The 21532-nt window shown below is 40.7% G+C and overlaps 1 protein-coding gene and 1 long non-coding RNA gene across 24 annotated transcripts in view; one reads left to right on the forward strand and one right to left on the reverse strand.

Moving 5' to 3' along the window:
- The window catches only part of LOC121725015 (uncharacterized), a 93648-nt gene extending 87458 nt beyond the window's left edge, over positions 1 to 6190 (forward strand). Inside the window, exons 2-3 of one of the 2 annotated variants that reach the window (NR_172505.1) lie at positions 1819 to 1915; positions 3786 to 6190. This is a non-coding gene — a long non-coding RNA (uncharacterized LOC121725015). The remainder of the gene's footprint in view (positions 1 to 1818; positions 1916 to 3785) is intronic. The other variant, NR_172504.1, reaches the window with a different exon arrangement.
- Positions 1 to 21532, reverse strand: part of L3MBTL4 (L3MBTL histone methyl-lysine binding protein 4) — a 460543-nt gene that overhangs the window by 28468 nt on the left and 410543 nt on the right. The window lies entirely within an intron of this gene.

Here is a 21532-nt window from a genome sequence, read left to right on the forward strand (position 1 = left end):
TCTTCAAGTAAATGACACTTGTATTCAAACCTGTTTTACACTGCTGTGGGAAATAACTGCATTTGGAATCCGTAATTTTCTCTACACGGCTACTTTCTACTTCAGGAATAGCCACTGTGGAAGTGCTGTCACTAGAATACAGTTACATTTTAAGGAGCAAATGCTTAAAGACTACCCAGTCGTAGATAACCGAATCACTGCTAGTGAATTAGAGAAGTCAGTGGTAACACCAACACTTGAAACCCCAACACAACCCTTTTCTTAATTATCAACTATAAAAGGCAAGCTGCTAACGTGTGTGTTTGTGTGGGTGGGGATTAAAAAAAAAACAGTGTTAGGGAATAGAACAACTTTCCTGAAGCTAGCGTTTGAAGAAGACTGACTCGAGTAGGCTGTCACCACACTCTCAAGATCCTGTTGGTTATCACGGGTAATATTTAGGAACATTCTGCAGAGCCTCTAATAAGCCATTTGAAAGGGAAAACACTGAGCACAGGATTGAGGAGTGACGGAACACAATGGCAGTGATGAAAACCAGACACAGCAAGTTTCTGAGGCTAGGTGACCCCTCCCACTTCCCAAATAGCCCAGGACTCTTCAGGGAACTTACTGCCTCTGATTTTTCAGTCTTTCTGTAGGCTGATTTCCTCATACTAAACACTCCTCAATGATACAGTGAGGCTTCATTGTGTCATATTTTATTCTAACCTGGGAATGGCAAGATCATCTGAATTTTATTTTTTTTGAGATGGAGTCTTCCTCTAACACCCAGGCTGGAGTGCAATTATGTAATCTAGGCTCACTGCATCCTCTGTCTGCTAGGTTCAAGCAATTCTCCTGCCTCAGCCTCCCAAGTAGCTGGGACTACAGGTGCATATCACTGTGCCTGAGTAAGTTTTGTATTTTTAGTACAGATGGGTTTTCACCATGTTGGCCAGGCTGGTCTTGAACTCCTGACCTCAGGTGATCTGCCTGCCTCAGCCTCCCAAAGTGCTGGGATTATAGGCATGAGCCACCGCACCCTGCCCATCTGAAATTTATTTAAAGGCCATGTAAATTTATTAAGACATACTGGTGTTAATTCTTTGGAGGAATGCAAGGATAAATGATTGTGGCCACATTTCTGAAGTATGATAGTATTGCTGAATCCCATTATTGAGCCATACTTTATTGTAGAATATTTCCCATCTTAACACTATGGTGACAACTTTCATATACCACAGAAAAATGATTTCTCTTTAATGGCTTCCTCTTTTTAGTGGCTTCCATTATGCTATTCAAAACTGAAAATGACGACAGATGAATAGAAATCCAAAGAAAATGTTAAATATGCTTAATTATGTTGCTGTCACAATGCAGGAAATTCTTCAGATAACTGAATATTTTTTTGGGGGGGAAGCTTTTTAAAATATTCCAGAGGTAATTCCATTTCAGATTTTGAACAGAAAAGGGAGTCCCCCTTCCCCCACCTTGATACATTATTTCTATCAAAGGTAGCATTGCTGCTCATGTTCTCATTTCTTTCTTGGTGAGAAAATTAATTGATACGCTAGAGTAATTTTCATCCAGAGTGAATCTGAATGTTGTTTCTGAATTATTTTTGGACCTTGGCTTTCTTAATCATAGCTAATGATCTACGTGTCTTTAGGAGTATTTTTTTCAGAAGGGAAAATTTTTATAGGTATAGATTATTGGTCAAAATCATTGGTCAATTCTTGGTAAGGAAAATAAAAACTGCTGCTTGGGCCTCAAACTATGCTGTCTTAATGACTAGGAAAACATAATTCTCAACTTTTCCATTTTTTTTTTTCCTGGGAGCTCCAGATAACAGCACTATGGGAAGGAGGAAGAATTTAATGAAAGCTTGTACCTGCTGGCTGAAACTAAGCAGCCTATTTATAAACTGCTCTGAAATGTAAGTAAAAAGCTCTTACCTACTCAAGGTTCAAATGAGAGTGCTAGCAAACTAGTGAAGATACAAAGGAGAAACACAAGCTGGGAAAGAAGTGCATAATGGATTGAAGCAGAGGCAAGAATGGGAGAGATGATACTAGGGAATCAGTGGGAAACCGGAAGGCAGATTTTTGTTAAGGCTGACCTGAATAGCCCTGGAGGTAACATAATGTTGCAGGTAAAGAATAGATTATTAAATATTGGGGCAAAAATCTCTGCTTGTTCTGTTCCCAGTAACTAAAATCCAGTCCTCCTTCCCTTTGTCTGACCAAGCCTGAACACGTCCTCCATGGCCCAACACTCAGGCAGTGCTTACTACATGCCAGGCACTGTTGTAAGGATTTTAAGTAAGGAAAAGGAGGCACAAAAAGGGAATGGAATTTGCCTAAGAGATTTGCCCGAAGGTAGCACAGTCAGGACTCCTAATGAGGCTGCCTGGCTCCCAGGTCTGTGCTCTGGACCCTACGTTATATTCCCGAAGGATGTTTAAGTTATAAAGGAAGGTTCTTAACAAATAGGCAAAAAATGGTCTGGAGATGAGGGCTTAGGGAGATGACATGCTGAGGGAATTATTTACCTACCTACCTGGGAGTAAGGGCAAAGTCTTAAGGTGTGATGTCCATGGGGTGGTTTTAGAGCACGAGACTAGGGAAAGACAGCTCAAGTTGAGGACAAAAAACAGAGATCACACACAGTAGAAGTGAGGGATGGGGATGATGCTACAAATGGACCAGGAGAGAAGCTAATTCAAAGGAGGTATTTTGTGGTTGGGATCTTGGAGAGGGATGCTGTAGAGGGTCAGAGGGCAACAGCAGGTATGACTCTGGGCAGGTGTGTCTAGGACCAGCAACCAGGGGTGCTGAGCAAGAATGCAGTCTTGGCTGAGGTCTGGAAATGAAAAGTGACCTGGCCAGAGAGAGCAACCAATCCACAAAAATTGTATTGGTGGAGCAGCTGATTTACCTGAGAATGAAATAAGAAGGTGCTGAGAGGCCGAAAGAGATGCCTGCCTTTGACTTGTTCCCCTGAGTCTCCTAACAAGTGAGCATGTATGAATGAGAATACCTTTCACCTAGAGGTTTAAAAGTCATTTCATATACGATGGTATTTGAGCCCCCAGTAGTCTTGTGAGATATTATACCATGTTCCCATGTTCAAATGAGGAAACTGATATGCAGATTGCCTCAGAAGCCATAGAGCTAGCAAATGATATGAGGTGGGAATCAAACCCGGAACCTGACTTCCATTTCACTGCTCTTTCCATTAACTTAATATTCTGCTTTTTCGTCTCTATGAAGTTTATACTTCAGTGTTTGCATGCAACATCATATGATGAGGTCATCTTTAATAAACATTCCTTGGGAGCTTCTAGCTTGGAGCTTTCATCTCCCTTCATTGCCTTTGATGGCTGTTAATTTTTCTTTTCTTAAACTTTAAAATGTGCCCTTAAGCAAAGATTTCAAAATAGGCACTGTTAAATTCTGCTAAAAACAAAACCAATAGTTCTGTGCCAGAGCGAGCCTTCCCTATATTGGGGAACTGCCTGAGTGAGTCTGTCTGGTTGGAACCGATGCCAGTGAGCCTGTGCCTTCCATGCAATAGCCTAGAGGAATGTACAGGGGCTTGGGCAGTGGGCATGGGCCCGAGTCCAACTACACTGTGCCTTTGCTGTGAAACTTCATCCAGACATCTGACTTCCCAGAGCCTCATTTTTTAAGAGGCTTCACAGTTACTAACATAGGATTGCTAAGGAAATTAAATCCCTTGTATGAGATTGTGCTATGCAAATGTTAGGAATTACTCCTTTTTCTGTTTTCTCCCTTCTCCTCCAGGCCAGGGAGCAGGTAACTCCCAAATGAAAAAGCAAGCAGGTCTCTCCCACCATCAGTGGGATGGCTGAGCTGTCTGTGGTGCCTTTGCATCTTGCTGCTTCGCTGACCCTGAAGGTCTGCCCCAGCCTCAGGCGACCAAGCCTACAGCGACCTCAAGGAGCAGCTGCCTCATCAGTGCTTGTAGGAGGCTCAGGACGGAGAGGGGTCTGATGCCCCCATTTTGTTCCCTTCTTTTGTCTTCTTTTGACTTCCCTAGGGAAGGGAAAATGTGCTATGAAGTTAAAAGAGGAATGAAGGAAAAAGAGAGAATGGAGGGTCTTCTAAAATGTGTTTATTTCTCAAAAGCCACATAGTGCTTCACAAATTCACATTAATCTAACACTTTTGCACTGTCCCCTCCCTCACTCCAGCCCCAACCATGGGGCGAAGCCCAGCAGTGTGGGAATGTACTCGCAAACCCCACACAGACCCGTGGCCACGTGTGGATGCACTCAACAGGAGCCAGCTATATTTCAGTTCTTGCTACTTGTATCTGTCTTTAGCATCCTCCTACAACGAGCAACACAGATAAATAAATCCCCAAACCTCACCTTGGCACTGGTTCCAGCTCCTCCCCTCTCCACCTTTAGCAGCCATTATCATAAATCACATTCTTTGATATATCTTTCTCAATGTCTCCCTCGCTCAGATTGCCTTTTAGTAAAAGTTCATAAAACAAAACAGAATTTACTAAAAATAGGTTAGTGGAAAGGTGAGCAATACAACTTCTGAAAAAAAAATTAAACCAGTGTATGATTTGGGGATTTAGTGAAGTGAACTGATAAACTGGGACATTCAAATCTATTATGCCAATATTTTCTCTGGCAAGAGATTGCTTGCTGTCTTTGCATGTAGTTTCATTTCAGGACTTAATTCCCTGTTTAAAAAAAAAAACTGGAAGAAAATTTTGCATTAGTTGTATTTTACTTAGATCCAGAGACGAAGCTCTGCTAATGCATATTACAATATATAATTAAGCATAAATACATTAAAATATTAAAACACTGTAAGTTATTAGAAATAATGAAATTTCTTGCATAAAGTCATTGCATGAATTACTTAGGTGCTTGTCAGATCCCTAATCAGAAAGAGCTGCCAGAGATGGCAGAGACTTCACTTGCCAAGACAACGTAGTCCATCAGCAAATCAGTGGACTTGGGAAGGAGGTGGTTTTCCATTTAAGCTGCAGCATCACAGAAAGTTACCCTCTAAAGTCATTCTTAGATGAATACTTCTATGTCATACACAGCTAAATTCCAACAGTCAAAACAATTATTCTAAGCTAATTAAAATACAAATAAAATTTTAGGCTATGGGATAACAGATCATGAGATAAAAACAATTCTACGATTGTTGGAGGGGCCCTGTATGATATATTCAGATCTTGCTCATCTCTTCCAAATCTTTGTTTTTTTAAATAGAAAATGTAAATTATATTTAGCTTAAGTCTATGTTTGAATTTAAATCACTAAAAAAATCTACTTTCTATAAAGCATTTGGAGCAATCTTGCATATAATACTCATTTGCTTAGCTAACTCTTTTTTTCTGTAGATAAGTAAGGTAAATGTTAGGCCACTAGACAAAATTATCATACATCTTCAATCATCAATGTCCAGAGTAATGAGTCAATATATGTATGTACGTATGTATATGCATTTAAAAAAATCACTCTTTTGACACATTTCACTTTTCTTTGTAAGTAATATAGGTGGGCTAGATCAGGGGTTGTCAAGTCAGATTAGAATCATCTGAGGAGATGTGGGCATCTGGCGATGCCCATACCAATTAAAAGAGTTTCTAGGGGTGTGGATGGAAAGTGGGAACTGGTAGTTTTACAAGGTCCCTGTCACCAGGGTTGAGACACCATAGCTTAGAGTCCTGTAACTTGTCCTTACCACCAGTTCATTCTCTTCTCTCCTTCTGTGAGGAGCGCTTCTATACTAAGACCCTGAAGGTAACTAGAAAGAGACAAACTCCACCAAGTCATCCAGTGGTGCACCTTTGAGGACTTCCACTACTCGCCTAGGTTCTATGAGGCCAGTATGGAGACAGAGAGGTGGGGGCCTGTGGGGAACTGGAGGCTACAGGCCCCACTTCTAGGAGATCTCCCAGCTCCAGCCCACTGTGCCATCAGGAATGTGGGCCCATGGCTGCCTGGCTTTCAAGAGAAGCTAGAAATCTGCTTTCTATGTGAAAACCTCTTGATTTTTAAATGCTTGCAATGAATTAAAAATTTATCAAAACTGTGTTGTCCAAACAATCATGTATGTGACCAAACATGGCCTACAAAATGCTAATTTACTACCTCTGAACTAGCACAATATCCTGAAAAAAGGCATAAATAAAAAAATATTGGCAGAATGCAGCATGAGCAGTATGTGGAAAGTTTTATTTTTTAAACCATATAGATAAATCTGTATTTGCTTACTTATAATTTAGTTGTGCTCTCCAGAACCTAATGGCATAACATTAACAGGCCTTTAAAAGCAGTGTGCTAAATGAAGGACAGTTTAAATCCACAGATGTAAAACCATTGTAGAGCAAACATGCAAACAAAAACTGATCAATCAACCAACCCACCCACCCAATTTGACCCTCTGTGGGCCTTAAAGAGGTTCTCAAGCCCTACCATGCAAGGCAGATCACTTGGGAATCTTGTTTATGCAGAATTGGGGCAGGGAGGGAAAGCTGAGATTCCGCAGTTATTATGTGCTCTCAGGTGAGGCTAATGTTACTGGCCACAATCACTTCACATGTCAAACAATAAGACTGTTTGCTCCTGGAGGCTGCACCCTGTCTTTTCTCACCATTTCTGGTAGGTCCTGAGCAACTGAGGGAACGAATCCACTTGGAAGGTCCCCTTTGCAGGCCAAGTGCAGGGCTGGGCAGGCACCACTGGAGGTGAGGGTGAGAGCGTGAGGGCACAAGGCAAGTAGAGTGGGCCTTATACTCTGGTTGGGGGCAAAGATACAACCAGGTGACAGGTGGCGTGAGATGAGCTTGCGTTCTCTCCGGGATCCCTAAGAGTCCATCCTCAAGATAAGCAGGCTCAAAACGAGGCCTCTGAATGCCACTCACTCAGAAGGGCTTGCATTGTTTCCCTTTGGCTGTGGGGAACCAGGGAAGGCCTTTGGGCAGGGAAGTAAGATGATCAAAGTAGGGTTATAAAAAGGTGATCTTGTTCTACAGGAAGGTTACGTGTATTGCTGGACTATCGATTTTCCATACTTGCCACACAAAATAAATCTTCTAAAATGGCAACTACTTTATAACTCTGCTCTTGTTTAAGTGCCTAGTTATATATAGATTTCTGAGGGCCTTTAACTCAAAGAAATCTATGTCTCCTTACAAAATAAATCCAAACAAAGCAATAGTACAAAGAGAAAATGTTTGGCATGTTATTAATTCACATGGGGGACTTCAGGATACACTGAAAACACTTGTAGAAAAGAATTTCTTGCACTTCACTAAAAGTGGACAATTTCACCTCCAAACAAATGGAATTTAGTCACAAACCCAGAATCATCTGTATCATATATATGAAAAAGGGCTGGGATGAAGAGAATGAATGTGTTCTACTCTCCACATGCCATCAATATTAATTTTGCTTATGTGCGTGGATAGTAATTGAGTCCCATGTTTCCTCTATAAAACATCATCTAGACTTAGCTAGCAAATATAGACATCAGCTCAGCCAGAGAGCTATTACAAAGTCTAAGCCCTGAAGGAATTCCTTTCAAACTTTAGTAGGGTTCATGTGGGTGTGTGTGTGTGTGTGTGTGTGTGTGTGTGTGTGATGGGCTACTCTTCAGTCCCAGTACTCACCAATGGTACCTTTTACATGACAGCAGCAGTAAGGGATGGTCGTGAAGATTAAGTGAGATACATGTGTAAAGCACACAGGGCCTAGGCTTGGAATATCATTTTCTTCCTCTCTGATTCACTCATCTGTCTCCCCATCTCTCTGATCTCGTCTCTTGCCCAGTCCACCTTGTTTCCGTGTCCTGACCACAGCAGGCCTCCTCTTGGTCCCCTGAATGCATCTTGCTGGTAGCCTCTGTTGTTCTTTCCTCCTGGAATGCCCACCCCTCTTCTCTTTGCTTGGCTGACTCCTAGAAGTTCAGATTAAATGGCACTTCCACAGACAGGCCCATGCTGACCCTCAAATATAATTGAGGTTCTTTCCATGCCCGTACATGACTTTCATTCTCTCCTGTAGCACACTATCTTTTTCATCATGTTTCCTATCACAGTCAGTACTTAGTATGTGCAAGTTTGTCTGTATTCCCATTACTGTAAGCCTTGCCAGTGCCTTGCATACAGTAGGGGCTTAATAAATACATGTTAAGCAAATGAGTCGTTTAGGGAAGAGTCTGTCTCTTATTCAGTCCTCAAGATGAACACGGCTTTGCCTTTAAGAGGCACATAAACATTCTGTTGATTGACTCTAAATGACTCCCATCAAGTCACATGGCAGGTTGGTCACTTGCTACCTGGCATCTTTTGTCTACACTAAAGCTGCTATAATAGTAACCTGTTTAATTATTCTCACACTTACACTGCTCTATAACTAGAGCGAGGAAAGAGGAAGATCTTAGAGGTAAAATAACAAAAAATTCACAGCTGCCGTGTCAAGATTTTTAAAAAATTGAATTTAAAAGAACAAAGAATTAGCCAGCCCCACCTTTAAAATTTCTGTAATCAAATGTTAATATATAAAGTTTAGCCACATTAGAATGTTTGGGAGATACTTCTGTTCTGTGGAGTCCTGCTCAGCTGTAAAATACCAGGTCATCTGAAAAAAATCAACACTGGCTGAACCTAGTGACATGCTGAGCCCAGCCAACCCCAGGAGGTGAATGTCCACTGCCCTGGAGGGATTTCCCACACTTCTCCTCTTCCCCCAACTCTCACCGAGAAACCTCTATTGTGTAGCCCTGGGCTGTGGCTTTTGGCCAACAGTACATCCATCCAGTGCATCCATCCATCCATCCATCCATCCATCCATCCATCCATCCATCTATCCAACATTATACCAGGTTCTTGGGACACAAAGATGAAGGAGACTTATTTTTTACCCTCATGAACTCATGGTCCAGCAGGAAGGGCATATGTGGAAAGAATCGGTTGCAGCAACGAGGTACGTGCGAGGAGGACAGGGTGATGTGCTGAGTTCAGGCTGACAATAGGGCATGATGAGGAGCCCCGGGAGGGGAGGTTTGAGCTGGGCCCTCAGGTGGACAGAAGCCTGTTAGGCAGACGGGGCTTGAGGTCTTTCAGGCAGAGGTACACATGGCGCCTGGTTATGGGGGCCTGGGCCACAGGGTGTATCAAACCTGTAGTATGATACGATGTTTGATAGAGTGCCCCCACACTATCATATCCCCCATTATGCGGGGACAGTGTGGGGCATGAGGCTGGAGAGTGAGGTGGGTGGAGACCAGGAAATCCCCCAAGAACATTAAGTACTTTGAACAACTCCTGGAAGCTCACGGGGAGCGATATAGTTTGGATGCCTGCCCCCACCCAAATCTCATGCTGAAATATAATCCCCAGTGTTGGAGGTGGGGCCTGGTGGGAAGTGTCTGAATTATGGAGGAAGATCCCTCATGAGCGGCTTGGGCCATCCCCTTGGTGATAAGTGAGCTCTCACTCTGAGTTCACACGAGATGTGGTCATTTAAAAGTGTGTGGCACCCTCCACCCCCACTCTCTCCCTCTTGCTCCTGCTTTTGTAATGTGACATGTCTGCTCCCACTTCGCCTTCCGCCATGAGTAAAAGCTCCCTGAGGCCTCCCCAGAAGCCACGCAGGTGCCGTCGCCATGCTTCCTGTACAGCCTGCAGAACCGTGAGCCAATATGACCTCTTTTCTTTATAAATTACTCAGTCTCTGGTATTTCCTAGTAGCAATGCAACAACAGCCTAACACAAGGAGCTAGGTAGAGTTTCATGAATGGAGAAGTCGATCTGATTTCGATTCCAGAAAGATCACCTGGGGGCACAGATGATGGGTTGGTGGAATGCAAGACTGAGAGAAAAATGAGCATCTTATGCAGCCAGCTATGTCTGAAAGTTCCAAGAAAGGTGGCCCTGGTGACCTCGTGGCCTGTTCTCTTTCCAGCGCTCACACCAAAGTGAGCACAGGTGTATCTGTCAGGAGGAGGAAGCCTCCCATAAACACCGTCCTCTGTTTCTACACAGCAACATTTCCACATAAACCTCTCCATAGAGACATCCATGTCTCCAAGTAACTCTTTCCAAAGAAATAACCCTTTCTTCCCAAATGGAATGACTTTTCCAGATAAATCTGGGCACAAAGCACAGCTGGGTGAAAATGGGCTGAAGAACAGCCTGTCTAGGTGTCACTGAGCAAGCCACGGGTCTCTGCAAATTAAACCAAGAAGAGCTTTAACAATTTTACTCAATTGACAGAGCATATGCCCACTATTTTGGGTCGTGAAACAGCTTTTGGTATTTCACTCTATTTCTGAACTAAAATATGATGAGCTAACCTGGACAAGCTCTTCTAGAGCAAGTTTTTTTTCCCATTATTTTAGGATTAGGCATAAACAGAGTCGTTAATTTACACCAAATGACTTTTACTACTTGTTGCTCACCAAAGAAAATAATTCCACTAAGAGATCCTTCAAGCAAAAATTTTACAAAATTATGCATTATAATAATAATCATTATACAATTATGTTGGTTATTTCAGCCTATGTAGGAAAAGTAATGAAAAAATTGAATTGTGGTTATAGCCATTATTTCCTACAAGGACACAATGTGAATAGATACTGTATTTTCCCCAATAGTTTTATTCAAATGGCACAGGAATGGAATTTGTAACAATGCAGTTCTTTCTGGGTAAAGTTAAAAAAAATACATGTTTTTGCACTAAGTTTTAGACTCTATTATGTTAGTAAAGTTAGATGAAGGAATGAATGAATAAGCCAGGGGTTCAAAGGAACAACGGTCCCAAACAAAATCACCAGAGCCTCAAAGTGCCTGCAGCCACTGGCGACGCTGGAACCCGGCTTTTGTGGTTCATGCCCCTTTCTCTTCCAGGAACATAATCTGCACCATCTACCTCCCTGTCCACCAGGCCCTCTGCTCCTGGGGCATGCAGGTACTTCCTCTGAAGCCCTCCTCCGGAAAGCCTAGGCACTGCGCAGTGAACCCCAGACCCAGGGCATCCCCTGTCACCAAAGTGCCTCTACCGGCCAGGCATCTGCTTTTTGTCTTTCTCTAGCACAATTGTGAGCTGCGTGGAGGCTGGGCCTGTGTCCGTCTCACTTACTGCTATGTCTTCAGTGTCTGGTTTAATGCTTAGCACAAAGCAGGTGCTCAAAAAAGACCTTCTTTGATATCTCTCAGACACCTTAGAAAATATTTCCCTTACTTACCTTAGATGCTCACATGGCACTTACTATGTACCTGCCACTTCTTGTTCTAATTTTTCCAAATATCAACTCAAAATTATCAGCCCCATTACGAGGGAAGCAGGTGGGGCAGGCACAGAGGGGTAAATTTGCCCACAGTTGCAAAGTTAATAAGTATTAATAGTAAAAGTAAGATTTGAAGCCAGGCATGGTGGGCTCAGTCTCCACTAACGCTGGCTCCCATGCCACTGTACTGCTCTCTTGGAAAGATAGGGACCAGACTGCCTCCAGCGACAGAGAGTTACCTCCAAGAGGTCACCTCCAGGAGGTAAGCGACTCCACCAAGCAGGGGCCCCAATACTTGCTGGGTTCTCCTTAGACTGAAGTAAAACTGTCTCCTTCAACTTCTATCATTTTGTCCCAGTTCTGCTCTCAGGAATACCCTTGAAATTGTAAATTTTCTCTTCCACATAAAAACCATAATCTTGTAGATTTAGATGTCACACATTTATATGCCTTTACAAATGTTCTACAATTATTCAGGGTGTTTTATCCCCTCTACACTGAGATAAGCCTCCCTTTTGTTCATCATTCTGATTTAGTGAGACTTTATAATTACTAGAAGAGGATGCATACAGAAATGTGACTTTTCCAAAGTATATTGAAAGCTAATTTTCAAAATGGTTGGAAAACAGACACACTCATAGCGCCAGCTAGAGAAACATGTGCGTCCAGGAGGGCTACGTGTTTGATGCATGGGTCTGACAATCACCATCTGTGCTTTCCACAGCGGCGACCACGCCATGCAGGGATACTGCAAGGTAAAGATGCAATCAAGGACTTACGAAATAACATGGCAGTGGGCTCCTGGGTTGATTAAATCTGAACATTCTCGCCATTGTGTGTCCCTGCATGGTGACGGTGACAGTGACGCTGGGCTCCACGTTTACTGCCCTGTGAAGCCATGCCGGGGGCCAAAGCCTGAACCATTTTTTTTTCTTATTCAACATACTACAGACTAGCTATTTTTGAAGAGTTATTTACAAGGTAGTCTTTCTGATTTATGACAATTTCATTTGTGAAAATAAGAAAATGGGAACTCTGAATCCAGCCAAGGTTATCGTGAAGGAGATGCTTTCAAGTAAGCTAGATGTGTACCTAGCTTTGCTCTTTTCTTTCTGTTTTCAGGGAAGTTTGGATGATTATTTCACCCATGCGACCAAGAATGAGCCTTCGCACTTCTGGAGAGACAGAACTCTGCAAATAGAGCTGAGGGAATACTCAAAAGACAGATTTGGGAGTTCTAAGAACTCGTGCAGTAAAATGACAGCAGAGGAGAAGGGGCAGGAAAATGTTACCCTAAGAGCATGGCTGGCAGGAAGGAGTGAGGCTGGGTCCACTGATCCCCACTACTTAGCAGGAAAATGCCACCCTACAGGGCATGGCTGGTAGGGAGAAGCCAAGCTGGGTCCATTGATCCCCGCTACTTAGCAACGCTGTCTTTGTTATTTTGAGTTTTCAATTTCCATGAAAAAAGGGCAGGAGATTTTTGTTTATTAACCCTTTTCCAGTTTGCCCTGAGAATACTCACCAGCTGGAGGCGTGTGTGGCTGCAGTATTGATAACTTTACTGCAAATATTTTGCTTTTATTATTATTTTTGCATCACTCTAGCATATCGACTTTGGAAACAAAAGACATCATTCTATTTATAGCATTCTAACTAGTGATATTTCCATTTACAAAATATAGTAATTCTCGACAGCTAAAAATGTCAAATCCTAGAAAATGTAGCATTCCTACACATGATGTTAACATCGTTCTGGAACAGTGGTTGGCCAAAGATTCACTTGATGAATCTGATTTTTTCCGAAATAGATGATTCTGATGATTCAGACGATCTTGATGTTAGTTCTGTTTAGCAATAACTCCAAGAACAGTTTTTATATTTCATCTCCACACTGAAAATCAGTAAGATTTGCTTCAGCCTCAAAGAGCATGTTTATGTAAAATGGAGCGCTGGCAGTGAGCTGTACGTTTTTGTTTTTGTTTTTGTTTTCCAAACAAGAGAAGGGTTAAAAGGGGGTCTGGGCTAAGAAACACCGATCTGGGCCAGACGCCGGGACCAGCATGCAGCACTCTAGCAGCTGTGGCTATGGTAGGTGCGCTCTGGGGTTCTACTCAGTGTGCTTGCTCTCTCCATCATCATCCCTAACATGAAGCTCAGAGAAGCTTTTCCGTGGGAAAAGACTGGGCCTGACCACACCATCAGTGCAGGTTATGAAGTATGTAGAAGATGCCAAGAGTGAGCACATCAAGACAATGATGTGAATCCAGAAAGCAGCAGAAAGTCAGCTGTGGACCAGTGGAGCATTGAAGGGCAGGGGACTGAGGGGCAGCAGGAGTTTCTTTATAAGGGGCAGGACTTAAGCCCTATTTAGATACTAAATTAATGAATTCCTTACATGGATCAAAGGAAATGAAGCTAAAACCACCAATATCAAAAGTAGCTCTTAATAGTTTTATTTTCCCTCCCGATCCAGTTCATTTGGGGATTTAAAAGAGAGGTGGGGAGACTAACTCAGGAGGGGTGCATTTTAGAAGCACAATTGATCCTCAGTATCCATGTCATGGATTCAACCAATTGCAGGTTGAAAATACTTGGGAAAAAACTAAACAATAAAAAACATTACAATAGTAAAAACACTACAAGTAAAAAAGCAATTAAGTATTAATATAATAACTGTGTACTTTGCATTTACGCTGTGTTAGGTATAAGTAATCTAGAGATGATTTTAAGTATGTGAAAGGAAAATAAATCTCAGGTCCCCAAAATCACTAAATCAAGGGAAAAGTAAAGCTGGGAACACTCAAGCTGTGAACTATGTCAGGCAAACTCGCCTCCCATCTTATTCCTAAACAAAATAGTGACAGAGATTCAAAAGCTACACACCTTCCTCACAATTTGCCCATCAGGAAATTCCTTGTGGACAAAGGACAGACAGAACTCAAAGTCATCCCAGTGGGCCTCACTGACAAATGCATGAGACAAATGCATATCTGATTGCTTCCTCAGCCCTGTGGTTTCACTGAACCAGAACAAGGCATAAGTGACTATCCCTCTACCTTCCTCTCACATGTAAATTGTGTATTTCAAGAAAAGCTAATCAGAGACTCAAAAGAATGCAACCATTTGTCTCTTATCTAGCTGGAAGCCCCCTCCCCCACCTTGAGTTGTCCCACCTTTCCAGACGGAACCAATGTAAATCTTACACATACTGATTGATGTCTCATGTCTCCTAAAATGTATAAAGCCAAGCTGTGCCCTGATCACCTTGGGCACATGTCCTCAGGACCTCCTGAGGCTGTGTCACCAACGCGTCCTTAACCTTGGCAAAATAAACTTTCTAAATTGGTTGAGACCTGTCTCAGATATTTTGAGTTCACAAGTATAATGGTGGATGTTTGTGGGTTATATGTAAGTATTACTCCACCTTATATCAGGGACTCGAGTAGCTGCTTTTGGTATCCATGGGGGTCCTGGAACCAATCCCCCAGGGATATCAGGGGATATAAGAGCCACAGAGATTTTTCCTTAGTTGTGTTTTCTTTCCAAAAGTTAAAATAAAGAATTTAGCCTCTACCTACAACAAACCAAACTAAAACCATAGATACAAAACAGCAGCAGCGTGGTTTTTCATGGTGCTTCCTCCCTCAGGGACACCCTGGCTCCAAATCTCAGCCCTGCCTGATCCTTCCTGCCCCAAACTCTCATCCATTAGGTGGCCAGGTATGGCCGATGCTGCATCCTAAATACTTGCTACTGTCAAATGAAAGGCAAGAAAAGAGGCACTTCATCTGAAAGAATTACTGCAAAGGTGTAACAAACTGCTGCCATAGCGGGAGGGGGACTAGGAACAGGGAGAAGCCCCCTCCCCTGCGCTGCGTCTGCAGAGGCTCTGTGGCTAGATGGGAGAAAACAAGGCTATAAAGGAGAGGCCTGGTGGAAGAAGCCTGGTCTGTTAGCCTCAGAGAATGTTTCGCCTGAGGACAACCTATTTTCCTGGAGGGGCCCTTCAGGAAGGCTGTCTGCTTGCTCAGGCTGAGGGTGGGCCTGGGGGAAGGAAAGTCACTTAACCAAAGGGTGGTTAACAAGTACTTTGTCCCCATTTGGCAAAAGAGGTCAGCTAATCATTTATGAGGCAAAGAAAGGGCATTTGGAAGGACTGTGTCTGGCCTTGTCTGAGGCAGTCAAGGGGTGATCCACCAGACTTCTCTAAGTCACGTGGGGAAGGGGCGTTCTTTGCAATCAGTCATTTTCCAGGACACAAAGGTTGGGGTGATTACTCAACCTTTGCTGTTTTCCAGGATCCCTAAGGGTCAGGTAAAAGTCAACATTGTCTGTTCCTGTCCCCTCCTTTCTGTCCTCACTGTCAGCAGCCTGGCCAGCTGCCACTTGCAGTCACCTGGGATAGTCTCTGCCTTCAGGCTCCTCTATTCCAAGTCTCCTCCAACCTGCCCTCAGAATTTTTCTCTGCCATAAATCTAACTAAGTTATTCTCCTCAAAATCAAGACAAAATGAAATGACAAACAAACCAGATACTCAGTTAAGATGATTCCTGAACTTTCTCTCATTAAGCAGAGGATGAAGGAACACTCTTTAGCATGGTGTCCAAGACACCTGACTCACAGTCCCACCTACTGCCTCACCACAAGTTTCTTTCTGTCTCAGATGTGTCTCTGGTGTAGTGCAGCCAGATAGCCACAGAGCCTTGAGGATGCTGTCCTAGTTCTCTGCTTTTGATTATCAAATCTGCCTAGCAGAAACATTTTTCTCATATTTATATTTATTGAAATTCCACCCACTATTTATGGCCTAGTTCAGATGCTATCTTCTCCTGAAAATGTCTGATTCCCACAAAGAGAATCAATTGGTTTCCCTCTTCCAAATGTCTTGGTTTGAGGTTGCAAAGCAGCACTTACCCTATGCTACCCTGTAACTGTAATAGCTGTTTCCACCTTTATGCCCCCACCAAGGAAGGGCTCACTCTTTCTTCTGAGCACGCCCTACCTTCCTCAGAGTGTGCTGTGCTTCATAAAAATGTGTTGAATGGAATGAAAGAAAAGAACATGTTTTTCTATTAAAGTCATTTTAAACATGCTAATCAGCAAGGAATATGGCTGTGAGCATTTCTCCTCATCCTCCTAGAATCATACAAAAACAAACAACGAAGAAAATAAAGGAAACACCATAAATTCCATTTTCAGTGAAACTAGAAGGCAGATAAATTCCCTAGATTCAATATATCTGTAAAAAGGGCCAGAAGCAACTGTGATTGGCTAGAAGATATGCAGGGGAAGGGAAGAAAAGAAGGGCTGAGTGGTGGCCGATCTCCTGGGTGGCCACTGCCAGAATGCAAAGGCACATTCCTTGCTTGTACAAATGGGGACAGGACCTTGGGTGAGCAGGGTTGGTATAAAAGAAGCCCTACTGGACTTAGTTTTGTTCAAGGAGTTAGAGTTTTCAGGGCTACACAGAGAATAGTCCAGAGGAGCCATGTTTGCAGGAAGCACTCTGTCTCAGTGTCAGGCAAGAGAGAGAAACCTTTTAGTTGGAAAGCCTAGCCCTCATTTCCTGTCAATATAGATGTGTGTGAATAGTTAGTTCAGGAAAATTGAACTCATTAAGTAATGAGTGAGCTCAGAAAAAAGAAAGAAGAAAAAGAAAAAAAAATGATATGGTGTTGTTATAAAGATGCCATGAGAAAAATGTGAATGAGACCAGTAAAATCTATTAAATTTTTAAAATGTATCCATAAAAATATTGCCACTGAGGAGATGAAAGAGTGATCAGACATTCTGACATGTTTGGAAACACAAAATAAAGCTTAGTGAGGCAATTATCTCTAGGAAGGAAGAAAATAAAGTAGAAATGTGACAATTCGAGGAAGAGACAGCAAGTCAATAAAAGGCAATGCAGAACTCCAGAAAGAAGTAGAGGAGAAAAATAAAACCATTACAGGAATAGAGATGGAACTCGAAGGAGCAGAAAGGGAGAATGGACCTTGCATAACCCGGAGTCAGGATTATACTCATAAAAGATAAAAATGAGAAAGTCAAGCAAAATGAAATTTAAATTTAAAAAGAACTTAAAAAACATTAGAGAAGGTGATTCAACACATACATAATTAGTGTGTCTGAGGAAAAATCAAAACAATGAAACAGAGCAAATATTTAAATATATAATAAAAACAACCCTTTCCTAAATCTATATATGTGAATGTACTTGAATCTATATATCATAAGGGCATACCATGTGCCACATTCAGTGAATTGGAATGCAATAACAAGACCTATCTTAGTAAAGTTTTTGGAGCTTAAAGATAAACACTCATTACAGCATCCAGTCAAGCATCACATATTGTCTCAAAACTTTCAAAAACAAAGGACAGGAGTGATGTTAGGGAAGATGGTGGGTAGGAAGTGCCAGGAATCTGTCTCTCTGCCTAGACAACAATTGCACTGGCAGAATCTGACTGATAGAACTATTTTGGATCTCTGGAGTCTTGCAGCTTCCGGAGGTCAGCTTAGATGGTGGTAAATCATGGCTAATTTTGGTCAATTTCAGCTCTTAGAACAGTAGCAACTACTCACTTCCCATCCTCCAGCCCTGTGGCAGGCAGCTGTGCCAACAATCTGGGTGCAACTTGCATGTGGCTTTCAAGAACCAGGGTGGGCAATAAGTACCTTGTCCTCCAAATATTGAGGATCTGTGTCCTCATAACTGACTATGAAGGTGCAGGCCAGAGGCCTTTATAGCAATCCCCATTGCCTAAAGTGGCTTCCAGGGTATGTGAAGATAATTGCCTTAAAAAAATTTCCGTCCAGTTTTCCCCTTCTGGGGAGCCAAACATTTAAGGATTAGCACATTTAAAAGCAATAACATATACAAGGGAATTTAGTAAGTCACCATGCACGACCAAGGAAAGCAGTGGGCTCAGAAATGACCTGAGAAGACCTTAAGTTTACACCTCATGCTGATGTCTGGCATGGAGCTACCATAAAACAATTAAAAAACCCCAAACAAACAAAAACCAAAATCAGAAGCAGCAAACCCTGGGGAAGGCGGGGAATCTGATTAATAGAGATACTATATTATGAGATTCAAATGGTCAGTTTCAACAACAAAAAAATACGTGGTATATGAAAACAGGAAAGTATGACCCACTCAAAGGAAAAAAATCAACAGAAAAATAACTAGAATGAAAAATTCACTAGAGGGATACTAAAGCAGATTTGAGTAGAAGTAAGAATTAGTGAATTTGAAGATAAGACAATTGAAATTGAGTATGAGGAATATAAAGCAGTAAGATTAAAGAAAAGTGAAGAGTCTAAGGGATCTGTAGGACAGCATAAGCAGACCAATATACACATTGCAGGAGTTTCTGAAGGAAAAAAGAGAGGGAGCAAAGAGCACAGAGACAATTTGGAGAAACAATGGCTAAAAGCTTCCCAAATTTAAGGAAAGTCACAGATTTACAAATCTAAGATGCTCAACAAACTCCAAGTAAAGTAAACCTCAAGAAGACCCACAATGAGACATACTATAATCGAACTTTCAAAAGCCAAATACAAAGAAGGAATCCTGAAAGCACCAGAACAAAAGTGACTCATCATTACAGGAATCTTCAAGAAAGTTATCGAAGAATTTCTTAGCCAAAACTTTGCTGGCCAGAATGCAGTAGAATGATATACTTAAAGTGCTGAAAGAAAAAAATAAAATCATCAACCTAGAATTCTATATAAGCCAAACTCTCTTGCAAAATTTGAGAGAAACTTAGTAATTTCCAGACAAACAAAAGTTGAAGGCATTCATTTTCAGTAGACCTGCCTTGTAAGAAATGCTAAAGGGAGTCCTTCAAGTTGAAATGAAGGACTCTAGACACTAATTTGAAGGCATATGAGAATATAAAGTTCTCTGGTAAACAAAAATACATAGACAAATATTTAAAAAACAGTATTACTGTAATTTTGGTTCGTCACTTTGCTTCTTATTTTCTACATCATTTAAAAGACTAATGCATAAAAACAATTATTAGCCTATGTTTTTGGACACGTAAAACATAAAGATGTAATTTGTGATACAAGTAACTGAAAAGTAGTGAGAATGGAGCTATATAGGAGCGGAATTTTTGTATGCTATTGAAATTAAACGGGTAGAAATTCAAATTAAAGAGCTACAATTTTAGGGTGTTAAGTGTATAATGTACATGGTCATCACAAAGAAAATAAGTACAGAGTATATACAAAAAGAACTGAAAAAGGAATTTCAAATTGTCACAACAAAAATTCACTAAACACAAAAGAATACAATAATGTAGAAAATGAAGGCTAGAAATCCTATATGGTATATAGAAAACAAACAGTAAAATGGAGGCAGTAAGTCCCTCCTTCTTAGCAATTACTTTAAATGTAAATGAACTAAACTCTCTAATCAAAAAACAAAGATTGGCAGAGTGGATAAAAACCATAAGCCACTTATATTCTATCTATAAGATACTCATACTCATCTTAGATCCAAAGACACAAACAGTTTGAAAGGGAAAAGATGTAAAAGGATATTCCATGCAAAAAGTATCTCTATTTATAGAGATACTATATAAAATATAGTATCTCTATTTATAGAGATACTATATAAAATATAGTATCTCTATTTATAGAGATACTATATAAAATATAGTATCTCTATTTATAGAGATACTATATAAAATATAGTATCTCTATTTATAGAGATACTATATAAAATATAGTATCTCTATAAAAAAGGATATTCCATACACAAACAGTAACCAAAGAAGAATGGGGCACTTATATTACTATCAGACAAAATAAGCTTTAAATAAAAAAGGTTACAAGAGAAACAGAAGGGTGTGATATATTAATAAAAGGTAAAATACAACAGGAAGATATAACAATTATAAACATACATCTAATAAAGGACTCTCAGAATACAGGACACAAAAATGAACATAACTGAAAAGATAAATAGACTATTCTCAAATAATGACTTGTGACTTCAATACTTCACTCTCAATAATGGATAGATCAACCAAATAGAAGATAAGTAAATAAACAGAGGACTTGTATGACACAATAAACCAATGAGAGCTAACAGGCATAAACAGGACACTTTAACCAGCAGGATATATATTATTCTCAATTGCACATGAGGCATTCTCCAGGATAGACTATATATTAAGCCACAAATCATGTTTCAATAGATTGAAAAAGATGGATATCATATAATGTATCTCCTCTGACCACAATTAGGTGAAATTAAAAGTCAATAACAGAAGAAAAACTGGAGATTAAACAACACATTTTTAAATAATCAATGGGTCAAAGAGGAAATCACAAAGGAAATCAGAAATATTGAGAGACAAATTTACATAAAAACACCTCATAACTTATGTGATGAAGCATAAACAATGATAAGAGGCAGATTTATAGCTGTAAATGCTTACATTAGAAAAGAAGAAAGATTTTAAGCCAACAACCTGACTTTATACCTGAAGGACCCAGAAAAAGAAAAACAAATTAAACCCAAAGCTTCCAGAATGAAGAGAATTAAAGATTATAGTGGAGAAAATAAAATAAAATAAGAGGAGAAAAATAAAAGAGAAAATTAATGAAACCAAGAGTTGATTTTTCAAAAACAATTAGCAAAGTTGGCAAAACTTTAGCTAGATTGACTAAGAAAAAAAACGAATACTCAAATTACTAAAATCACAAATGAAAGTGAGGATATTCATACTGATTCTATAGAAATGAAAAGGATTATAAGAGAGTAGTGTGAACGACTGTCTGCCAACAAGTTGGATAACACAGATGATATGGACAAATTCTCAGAAACACAAAACCCACCATGACTTACTCATAAAGAAACAGAAAATCTGAATGGACCTATAGCTAGTTAGGAGATTGAGTCAGTAATCAACACCCCCTTGTTAAAGATAAGCCCTGGACGAGACTGCTTCACTGGTGAATTTTACCAAATATTTAAAGAACTATCATCAATTTTTCTCAAACTTTTACAGAAAACTGAAGAGGGGGAACACTTTCTAACTCATAGAAAGGCATTCAAATAGAAAAGGAAGAAGGAGAATTATCTCTCTTCACAGATGACATGATCTTACATGTAGAAAACCGAAGAAATCCTAACATGTCCACTGATAGATGAACAGATAAATTATGTCATATATATCCAACGGGATATTATTTACCTTTAAAAAGGAATGAAATTCCAATATGTACTTCAACATGGGTGA

The sequence above is a fragment of the Homo sapiens genome, chromosome 18, assembly GCF_000001405.40.
Source record: "Homo sapiens chromosome 18, GRCh38.p14 Primary Assembly".
NCBI lineage: Eukaryota > Metazoa > Chordata > Mammalia > Primates > Hominidae > Homo > Homo sapiens.